The sequence below is a fragment of the Homo sapiens genome, chromosome 21 (assembly GCF_000001405.40).
Source record: "Homo sapiens chromosome 21, GRCh38.p14 Primary Assembly".
In the NCBI taxonomy this organism is placed as follows: domain Eukaryota; kingdom Metazoa; phylum Chordata; class Mammalia; order Primates; family Hominidae; genus Homo; species Homo sapiens.
In genome coordinates, this window is record NC_000021.9 from 34,046,358 (window position 1) to 34,058,151 (window position 11,794).

General features: G+C 42.7%; 1 long non-coding RNA gene across 1 annotated transcript in view, besides 1 other annotated feature; it reads left to right on the forward strand.

Annotated features, from left to right (window-relative positions):
- Positions 1-5,591, forward strand: part of LOC105372790 (uncharacterized) — a 69,113-nt gene extending 63,522 nt beyond the window's left edge. Inside the window, exon 4 of the long non-coding RNA XR_937681.3 lies at positions 5,354-5,591. This is a non-coding gene — a long non-coding RNA (uncharacterized LOC105372790). The remainder of the gene's footprint in view (positions 1-5,353) is intronic.
- Positions 814-863: an enhancer, noted in NCBI's record as "active region_18393". NCBI's record gives its function as "activates an Ori minimal core promoter by ATAC-STARR-seq in GM12878 lymphoblastoid cells {active_cell/tissue: GM12878}" and the evidence as "EXISTENCE:reporter gene assay evidence [ECO:0000049][PMID:35858748]".
- Positions 5,592-11,794: the final 6,203 nt, after the last annotated feature.

An 11,794-nucleotide genomic window follows, 5' to 3' on the forward strand; every position in this document is an offset into this window, starting at 1 on the left:
CTTCATCTTCAAGATTCAGGAATTTCACCATGACATGTTTTGTTGGCTCTCTTCTTTAGTATTCCTGCCGAGTGTTTGGTGGGTCCTTTTGATGTAAACGCTGTGCCCGGCTATTTCCTTTCTTTAGTGAAAGGAAATTTTCTTTTATTATTTTTTGCATTATGGCTTCTCTTCTAAGTGACATTGCTACTGAAACTCACTTAAGTGGCTGACTCTTAGATCGCGTCTCATGTCTCATATCTTAGTCTTAAAATATCTATTTCTTTGGTTTGCATTTTTGGAGAATTTTTAAAAGTTATTTGTACATTAAAAGTTATTTGTACATTGAATTTCAGAAGTGTTCATTTTGCTCTTCAGTGCCCCAATTGAAGTTGCTTTGATGTACTTTAGAATTTTTTTTCTGAGAGATATTCTCTATGTGCATAGCAAGTTGCATTTTGAATGTAAAATCTTCAGAAAAATAAATAAGGATGAAAACTAGGAATTTTTGAGTTTCCTCATGTTTTCTGCAGTATTCCCAATGTCTTTATGTCTTTCTATTTCCAATGGCTCTCCAAATGGGTTTACCTGTCGCATTGCACTAGACTTGTTCACTGTAGAATTGTATAGGGGCTCCTGGAGTTGTCTTCAAGTTAGTGCATGTTGCACTATATCTGGACAATATTCGTCAGACTTTGTAACAAAAGGTGGGGTTTTTCTTAGGTCCTGCTAAAAGTAGTTTTCTTCTCTATTTTAATCTCATTTTGCTTGTTTCCTTCTCTACAGTTTTTATAAATACTCTGTGACTTCATAGTTTCACTTTTAATATGTACGTATATTAAGTTAACACCTCAATTTTTTTTTTTTTTAAAGACGGAGTCTCACTCTGTTGCCCAGGCTGGAGTGCAGTAGCATGATCTCGGTTCACTGCAACCTCCACCTCCCGGGCTCAAGCAATTCTCCTTCCTCAACTTCCCAAGTAGCTGGGATTACAGGCATGCGCCACCACACCCAGCTAATTTTTGTATTTTTAGTAGAGACTGGATTTCACCATGTTGGGCAGGCTAGTCTTGAACTCCTGACCTCAGGTGATCCGCCCGCCTTGGCCTCCCAAAGTGCTGGGATTACAGGCGTGAGTCACCATGCCCAACCACACACCTTAATTTTTTTTTTTTTTTTGATGGAGTCTCGCTTTGTTGCCCAGGCTGGAGTGCAGTGGTGCGATCTCGGCTCACTGCAAGCTCCGCCTCCCGGGCTCATGCCATTCTTCTGCCTTAGCCTCCTGAGTGGCTGGGGCTACAGGTACCCGCCACCACACTCGCCTAATTTTTTTTTTTTTGTATTTTTAGTAGATACGGGGTTTTACCATGTTAGCCAGGATGGGCTGGATCTCCTGACCTTGTGATCTGCCTGCCTTGGCCTCCCAAAGTGCTGGGATTACAGGTGTGAGCCACCGCACCCGGCTGGCACACCTTAATTTTTATAACAGCAGAGACTACAATGGAGGCTGGTATAAAAGGGTAATACTTCTTTATTATTCAAGGGTTGACTGGTGAACAGTTTCAGTTGTGCCCTGATTTTTCCTATCTTAGGATATTATCTTAGTGTTTTATCAACAAACCTTTCAGAGCTTCTTTTTGTGACATTTCTGCAATATTGAGTTTATATGTACTGTAGGATTAATCTATTATTGCTCTATCAGCATTCTTGACTGAGTTCTTCTGTGTAACTATGACCATTCATGTGCTATGAGAAATTTGGAAGTGTCATATTTGTCCTTACCCTCAGAAAACATATAGTTTGATTGGACAAAGCAATAAAATTTAAAAGTATATAATCAAGAAAAAATTAGAATGCAGAGATAAAAATAATAGATGTTCAGAGAAGAGAGAAATAAGTGAGGGATGAGATAGTCATCAAATATACATGGAGACTGTGAAACCTTGTGCAGAGCCTTGATGGATGCGTGTGGCTTGAAAAGGCGGCAAAGTGAAGTCTGGCTTTACTGACGAGAGAAACAAGGAAAGGGTTTTTGTGTGACAGTAAAGATTCAGGCCTGATTATCTTTAAAGTAGAACAAAGAGTCAGAAATTCAAAGATGGACATCACTACAGATCCAATAGGTATCAAAAAGATAAGGAGATCTTGAAACTTTATGCAAAAAATGAAATGGGACATTCCTTGAAAAACTCAATACTTATCAAAATAGATTTAAGAAAAACAGACTATCTGAATCTGAATAATTGGTAAAGAAATTAAATTAATTATTAAAAAAACCCCCAAAAAACAAAAAACAAAAAACCAGGCCCTGAAGTCTTCAGCAACGAAGTATAATAAACATTTAGGGAAGAAATAACACCAGTCTTATACAAATAGCCCCAGAAAAAAGAAAAAAATAAATTCCCCAGAACCTGACATATGAAGAAAGCGTAACCTTGCCAAAGATATTACAAGAGAGGAAAATTCAAGACAATCAGACTCTAGCACATAGAAGCAAAAATCCCAAACAAACACCAGCCAACCAAATCTAGCTATGCAAAAGATATCATGACCAAATTAAATTTGTTCCAAGAATACCTTTAGAAAATTAATCAATGCATTTCACTATATTAACAAAACAAAGAAAACTATGACTATCCCAGAGATGCAGAAAAAGCTTTTGATAAAATTTGTCGTTCATAAAAAATATTCTTAATGGAAGAGAACTTCCTTAATCTTATAAAGGTTATCTGGGGGAACCTATGGCAAACATATGGTGAAATGTTGACAGGTTTCTCTTTGAAAATGAGAATAAGATACAGATGTCCACTCTCATTCCTATTAAACATTGTGTTGAATCTCCTAGACAAACGAAGAAAAGCAATAAAATGAAATGAAAGATATATGAAGTGGGAAGGAAAATATAAAACTCATTATTCATAGATGGTATCATAGTATACGTAAAATATCCAAAAGAACATACAGGTATAAAAATTCAAAGGGCCCAAAATAGCAAAACACTTTTTAGAAGAATAAAAAGATGGAAGGATTTGCTCTACTGGATATCAGGTTATCATAAAACCACAGCCATTTACATAGTATATATATATATATATATATGCATAAGTAGATAAATGGATCAATCAAAGAGAAGGGAGAAATCTAGAAACAGACTCATGCGTATTTTGACACTCGATATTTCACAAAGTTTTCTTCAACAAATAGTGCTGGGACTACTGGATATCCATATGGAAAAAAATTAAACTTGATCCTTATCTCACACCATATGTAAAATTCAATTTCAGGTGAATTGCAGATCTAAATGTGAAAGGTAAAATAAAACTTCTAGTTGATAGCGTAGTATAATATCTTCCTACTCTAGTGTACATAAAGACTTCTTAAACAGGGCTCAAAATATATTAACTATTAAAAAAATTACATTTCACTAAAATTAAGAATTTTTGTTCATTAAAAGATGACAGTAAGAGGGTGAAAAGGTAAGCAACTATTCAGAATACACACACACACACACACACACACACACACACACACACACACACAAAACTCTTACAAGCCAGTAAGAATAAGATAACCCAGTAGAAAAAGGGACAAGACACTGGGATGGGTACTTCATAAAACAGGCTATCCAGATTAATAAACCTATAAATCAGAAATCAGAGAACTTATAGTTTCAATGAGATTCAACTATGCATCCATCATAATGGTTACAACTAAAAAGACTGATAATAATAACTGTTGGTGAGGATGTAAAGCAAAGGGAATTCTCATACATGGCTGGTAAGAGAATAAATTGACATAGCCACTTTGAGAAAACAGTTTAGCATTCTCTATTAAAGTAGAAGATATGCGTATATTATGACCCAACAATTCCACTCCTAGATATGTGCCCAATAGAAATGCATGCACGTGGGCACCAAGAAACGGACAAGAACAGTTAAAGCAGAGCTGCTCCCAACAGCCTCAGAATTTACTCAGCCCAATTGTCCTTAACAGTAGGATGGATAAATAAATTGTGGTGTATTTACTGAATAAAATACAGTAGCTGGCTCACACCCAGTACTTTGGGAGGCCGAGGCAGGCGGATCACCTGAGGGCAGGAGTTTGAGACCAGCCTGACCAACATGGAGAAATTCCGTCTCTACTAAAAAAATACAAAATTACCTGGCCGTGGTGGCACATGCCTGTAGTCCCAGCTACTCGGGAGGCTGAGGCAGGAGAATCACTTGAACCCAGGAGGCGGAGGTTGCGGTGAGCCAAGATTGCGCCATTGCACTCCAGCCTGGGCAACAAGGTAGAAACTCCACGAAAACAAATGAACCTTGGCTGCATGGAGCAACATGGAGAAATCTCCAAAAATGATTTTGAGTGAAAGAAACCAAGCACAAAAGAAGGTGTACTGAAAGATTCCATTTATATGAAATTCAAAAAGCAAAACTAAACTCTAATATTTAAGAATACAAGTTGTGATGGTAAAACTGTCTTTTAAAAAATCAGGGAAATGACTTCCATAAAAATCAGGGTAGTGGCTACTTTAATCAGAGAGGGATGGTATGGTGATTGGAATACAGAGGAGGTTTCTGGAATGCTGGTAATATTTTATTTCTTGAATAGGGTTATATGGATGTTCACTTTGGGATAAACCATTGAGCGATACATTTTTGTTTTTTCCCTGTTCTATATTTGTTTTAACACACACACACACACACACATACACACACACACACACAGACATACACACACACACAAACATATGCGCACACACAATTATAAAAAGAAAAAACAGAATGGTTACATATACTAAGTACAGTAAATTACGAAATGCTGAGTATCAGTCTTTAAACATGAAGTAGATTTATACATAGAGATTTGGAGAGTTTTTGAAGCTGTACCATTACCACTGAGAAAATAAAACAGTCTGCAGAATGATGCACACAATGCAATACATGTATATCAAAACAATGCTATACATGTTTACATATACAGCACAGTCATCATGCATAGAAGTACATAGAATTAATTTCAGAGGCATACATCCAGTCTAAAAACAGTGATTACTTCTAGAGAAGGGACTGAGTATTTGCTGAGAGGGCTATCCGTATGACTGGTATAACTAAAAATAAAAAAAACAAACAAAAGAAGAAGAAAGAAAGGAGGAAGAGAGGAAAGAGGGGAGGGAAGGAAGAAGAGATGAGCAAACCTAGAATTTTGAGCCAGGCCCCCCAAGATCACAATGGAGATGGTATTGAGCAGCTTCATCTAGAATGTTCCTTGAACATTTCTTTCCTACTTCCACTTTTGGGGTTGCCATAAATTTTAAGAATTTGTTCATTCACTCATTCATTCAACAAACATATATATTATTGTGTTTCCTAAGGCAGAGCTTTCGGGAGTTTTCGTGTTTCAGTCCAGCCACCGAGTGGGCCAACATTTGATGATCACATGAAAACCTCGCTCCAATAACATTCAAAATCTTCACCATGAACAGGTGCTGGGTAGATCATGTTTATAAGAATTGTGTGCATTTCTGAGTGTTTAGAATTGTATGTGTTTAGGCTGAGCGCATTGGCTCATGCCTGTAATCTTAGCACTTTGGGAGGCCAAAGCAGGCGGATTGCTTATGTCCAGGAGTTCAAGACCAGCCTGGGCAGCATGGCAAAACTCCATCTCTACTAAAAATAAAACACAAATTAACTGAGCATGGTGGTGCCTGCCTGTAGTTTCAGCTACTTGGTTGGGGACTGAGGTGGGAGGATTGCTTGAGCCCAGGAGGTCGAGGTTGCAGCGAGCCTAAATCGCACCACTACACTCCAGCCTGAGTGACAAAGTGAGACCCTGTCTCAAGAACTGTGTTTTTATTTATTAAGTTAATCAAAGCTTTAAAAGTCTCAAAAGATAACAATGGCTGAGCAGCTTGTAGGACTCTGGGAAACTGCAGGGGAAATACTCATGAAACCTTAAGGAGTAATTTAATAGACTTAGAGATGAAAACGAAACCCCAAGGAGACAGCCCAGGCACAGTAGAAAGAGAGACACACAGTTGTACCAGTCGTTTAGAAGCAGATGTGAACGATGGCCCAGGTGTGACGATCATGGTAGAACTTGATGCAGGACATGTGTGTGGCAGGAAATACAGGCATGTTTTCACACATTCCATCAGGCACAAATGTGCTCTTCGTGTCCAAGAGATTATCTTCTAAACTTGGCCTTTCCAGTGGCACATGTCAGTAAATCTCTGATACTTGACTAGATCTGCTTCTAGAAACAGAAAGAAGCTTCATCTTTCTTTCCATCGCCACAGCCTCCGGGGGTGGCCTCCCTCTCCTACCACCCCTACCATTCATTCTCCATCTGCAGTTGGCATGCTCCTTTAAGAGTGTAAATTAGGGGCCAGGCGCAGTGGCTCACGCCTATAATCCCAGCACTTTGGGAGGCTTAGCGGGTGAAGCGCTTGACAGGAGTTGGAGACAGGAGTTTGAGACCAGCCTGGGCAACATGGTGAAACCCTGTCTCTACTAAAAATAGAAAAAATTAGCCAGGTGTGGTGGTGTGTGCCTGCAATTCTAGCTACTCAGGAAGCTCAGGCAGGAGAACTGCTTGAACCCAGGAGGCAGAGGTTGCAGTGAGCTAAGATTGTGGCACTGCACTCCAGCCTGGGCAACAGAGCAAGACTCTGTCTCAAAAAAAAAAAAAAAAGAGTGTAAATTAGATAATCTTTCTTCCTTGCTTAAAACTCTGCAATAGGCCTGGCATGGTGGCTCACGCCTGTAATCCCAGCACTTTGGGAGGCCAAGGCGGGCGGATCACGAGGTCAGGAGATCGAGACCATCCTTGCTAACACAGTGAAACCCCCTCTCTACTAAAAATACAAAAAAATTAGCTGGGCGTGGTGGCACGCGCCTGTAATCCCAGCTACTTGGGAGGCTGAGGCAAGAGAATCACTTGAACCTGGAAGGTGGAGGTTGCAGTGAGCCGAGATCATGTCACTGCACTCCAGCCTGGCAACAGGGCGAGACTCTGTCTCAAAAACAAAACAAAACCGAACAAAAACCCTGCAATAAGGACAATTTTTATTAAGTGTTGGTGCTGTATTCATATTTTCTCATGTAATCCTCCTAAGTCTCCAAGCACCTCAGTACCGTCATCATTCCCAACTCACTGATGAGGAAGTTGGGCTTAAGGGGGGCCTGCCCAGGCCGGGTGCAGTGGCTCACTGTAATCCCAGCCTGTAATCCCAGCACTTTGGGAAGCCAAAGTGGGCGGATCACCTGAGGTCAGGAGCACTTTGGGAGGCCGAAGTGAGGGGATCACTTGGGGTGAGGAATTCGAGACTGGCCTGGCCCAGATGGTGAAATCCCATTTCTAATAAAAAATGCAAAAATTAGCTGGGCGTGGTGGCAGGCACCTGTAATCCCAGCTACTTGGGAGGCTGAGGCAGGAGAATTGCTTGAACCCGGGAGGCAGAGGTTGTGGTGAGCCGGGATCGTGCCACTGCACTCCAGCCTGGGTGACAGAGTGAGACTCCATATCAAAAAAAAAAAAAAAAAAAAGAAAGAGGGGCTTCCCAAATCACTCCAGCTAATGTGGAGGCTGCTCTCCCACCTCCAAGAATGCCTCCTCCTCCCGTTATGATGTTTTCTTCATAGCATTTATCACTCTCTGAGATTTCCACTTATTTATGTGTTTACAGTCAGCCTTTTCCCACTAGAATAGAAGCCTTAAGAGTAGAGGGACTTTAATTTTTTCACTGCCATATTCCCTGTGCCAAAATGATGCCTGGCACATAGTTGGCATTCAATAAAAATCTGGCCCAGTGAACTTCATGCTACTCTGAAAAGTTTATTAAATGTATCCAAGGTGACCAAGACATTAACCTGCATTTATAATGAACTATATAAATAAATGTAGTCAACAAATATTTTATTAACTCAAAAGTAAGAATGATCTGTGTTATCTTCACATGGTTTGTTTACCAAATACAGACCATATACCAGTCGTTTTTAGGCACCGGTGATAAAAACACCCAGGTCCTTATCTTAAGGGGCTCATAAATGTGTGTGTGTGTGTGTATGTGTGTGTAGGAAGTGGGTGGGAAAGGGAATATAAGCAAGTAAACAGTGTCACTACACTGTGTGGTCAATACAATTATGGAGGTAAACACAGGTGCTGGTGACATAGGGGAAGGGCAGGTAGATCTGAAGGGGGATGAGGAAGGGTGTTGGCAAAGCTTTCGAGAGGAGCTGAGAATACAGTTGAGTTGGGAAGAACAAATAGTGATTATCCAAAGAAAGAATAGGGAAGCGTAAATAGGGCTGGAGAAGCAACTTGTTCTGGGTAGGGAAGCACCATGCTTCGGGAGCTGCAGGGTCGTGAGTTTAACGGTGGAGAATACAGCTGGGATGTGGTGAGGGATCAATCTCGGTGTGCATGGTGCAGCCCTTCGTAGATGACCCTGATATCAGTGGACATCACTTACCCATGTCTGCTTTATTTTCCAGTGGGTTCCCAGTGCTAGTGTGGTGCCTGTCAGATGGAAGGCCCTCAGTAAATATTTCCTGAATGAGTGAATGAATGAATGGATTTGGAATGTTACCCCCAGTACCCCTCGTTCCAGGAGGCAGTTAGAGTTTTACGTAAACAGAAATGTGATCTGATCAACATGCTGTTTGAGAAGGACCACTCTGGGAGCCCGAGAGTAGAAGAGGGAAGACCCGGGTCAGTGAGGCAGGTAAACAAGTGCGTGTGGGAGTGCATTTGAGGGCTGTGGAGTGAGGTGGGTGGCAAGGAAGGAATGGATTTGAGAGCTCCTTGGTGACCTACTGGATGGAAGTAAGAAATAAGGTCACCTCTAGGAGGTTTTCTGATTTCTGGTACAAGGCCTGGGTATGTGGTGGGGCCATTCACAGGACATGAGACTGGAGGTGGCGCAGCCTAAAGGCAAGATACTGGGTTCAGCTGACACCTGGAACACCCAGGTAGAAATGTCTAATGATCAGCCAAAACCTGGGCCTGGGGCCAGGAGACAGGTCTGGGCTGGAAGAAGGTCTGGACATCAGCAGGGTCTGGGCAGTGCTGGAAACCAGACAGTAGGAGGAGAGCACTCAGAGAGGGAGCCCTGTGGGGTGGGCACAGCAGTGGTCTTGGGGGCAGATGGAAGGAATCGGCAGAGGTGACCCAAAGCTGGCTAGCTGGTGGCAGTGGAACCAGTTATGGTTTGGGGGGGTGGAACAAGTTATGGTTTGGGGGAATCAATGGCAGCTGCAAGAGGACCTTGTCATTTTCACCTGCAATAGTGAAAGAATGCCCAGGTTGGAAGCTGAAAAAATAAAATCCAAGATAGAATGAGGTGGGAGGAATGGGCTGAGGCAGGCAGCTTGGAACCAAGAAGGAAGTGGATGCTGGAACTCCCTTTTTATATGGTTCCCTGGGCGAAGTGCAGGGTGAGGTGGCTTTCAGGAACCATTGGGATGAGGCGGTTTCTGCCTTTGAGTAACTTTCCATGCCACCACCCAGGAGATTAGAGCTTCTTCTTCTTTTTTTTTTTTTTTTTTTTTTTTCTGAGACAGAGTCTCGCTCTGTTGCCCAGGCTGGAGAGCAGTGGTGTGATCTCGGTGCACTGCAACCTCCACCTCCCTGGTTCAGGCAATTCCCCTGCCTCAGCCTCCCGAGTAGCTGGGATTACAGGCACATGTCACCATGTCTGGCTAGTTTTCTGTATTTTTAATAGAGACAGGGTTTCACTATGTTGGCCAGACTGGTCCTGAACTCCTGACCTCAGGCAATCCACCCACCTCGGCCTCCCAAAGTGCTGGGATTACAGGAGTGAGCCCTGTGCCCGGCCAGAGCTTCTTTTAAAAATATGTGCCTGGGGTCCTGGCCTTCACCTGTACTTTGCCTGTAATTTTCCACCTCTTGGTCTTTACTGTATAGCACTTGAGCAATCAGCTGTTCAGGGTGGTACAGCTGGAGGCACCATATGCACTTCGGCAATTACATGTCTAGACTCATTACTTACTTTCTTTTGGCACTGATTCCACATGATTCGGGCATTTCCAATCATCCCTAGTTCCACTTCTTAGATCTTCTGACCTCCTGGCCTAGCCCTGGAGAAATTTTATTGCAGTGTTTCGGGTACTGAGAACACAGGATCCTTGCTGGCCTCAGTTTCCCGTAGCTCTGATTTTTTTTTTTTTTTTGAGATGGAGTCTCGCTCTGTCCCCCAAGCTGGACTGCAGTGTGTGATTTCAGCTCACTGCAACCTCCGCCTCCCAGGTTTAAGCAATTCTCCTGACTCAGCCTCCTGAGTAGCTGGGACTACAGGTCTGCACCACCATGTCTGGCTAATTTTTTTGTATTTTTAGTAGAGATAGGGCTTCACCATATTGGCCAGGCTGGTCTCAAACCCCTGATCTCAGGTGATCCTCCTGCCTGGGCCTCCCAAAGTGCTGGGATTACAGGCGTGAGCCACCGAGCCTGGCCCCCTAGCTCTGATTCTAACCCGAGGCCTGCTCAGCACTGCTGATGCCCTATTTGGAAAAAAAACATTTGGCAATGGACCCAAGAAGCCATCAGTTTCAAGAAATTCCGCTTTGGAAGGCCAAGCAAAGGAAGCATTCCTAAATGCAGAAAAAGCCAGAGAACAAAGATGTTCATCTAGGGATTTGCTATACAAATGAAGAGTGAAAAAGTGTCACCTGAAACATCCAAGAGCAGGGGAAAGATTAAATGGACACCGGCATTTCCTGGAGTAGGATATAACACAGCAAGTCTAAATAACAGTTATGAATGTTAGTTAAAAACATTGACAAGCTCATGATTAGATATCAATGAAAAAATGGAATATAAAATTATATGTACCGTCTGATTAAATAACACATATCCATAAAAGTTTAGAAAGAAACCTCTAAAGTGTCAACAGTGGCTCAGCTTGGATTGTGGGATTATGGGCATTTTTTTGTTTCCTGAATTTTCCGTAGTAAGGTTACAGTAATCTTACAATAGCAAAATACAAATAACAATCTTTTAAAACCCTGAAGCCTAATTTGACAGGTACCTCCTCTTCTCAATTGTCCCTCAAGCATGGGCTGTCCCTGTCCTGTCCCCAGCCTGGCCTTCCTGCTCCCTATGACTCGATTCCTCCTCTTGGCTTATCTATTGATCTGGGGAGGTTTTACAGAGGCTAGCCAGAAGCTTGTGGGCACAGCCTCCTGGGCGGAACCAGACCCCCTCCCTGGGGTAGGGCAGCCAAGGCTCTCTGGTTTTGTTTTTGTGTGTGTGTGTTTTTGTTTTATTTTGTTTTTTTTTGAGACAGAGTCTCACTTTGTCACCCAGGCTGGAGTGCAGTGGCAAGATCTCTGCAACCTCTGCCTCCCGGGTTCAAGCAATTCTCATGCCTCAGCCTCCTGAATAGCTGGGATGACAGACATGTGCCACCACACCTGGCTAATTTTTGTATTTTTAGTAGAGATGGGGTTTTGCCATGTTGGCCAGGCTGGTCTCTAACTCCTGGCCTCAAGTGATCTGTCTGCCTCAGCCTCCCAAAGTGCTGGGATTACAGGTGTGAGCCACCGCGCCCCACCTCAGGGGTGTTGACTTTTAAAATGTGGGAAGAAGACAATTAAATGAGGGCTTTAAAGCTTTACATGCAGTGAGCAAGGAAGCTTCTGGAAAGCATTTGAGGCCCATTTCCCACGACTTGTCCCTGACAGTAGCTATGAAAATCCCGGGGTGGGGCTCATGGGAGTGAGGTATGCATCCTCTTGTGGGACGCTCTGGCTGAGCAGCGCAGGCCAAGAGACTTCCAGGCCACAAGGAAATA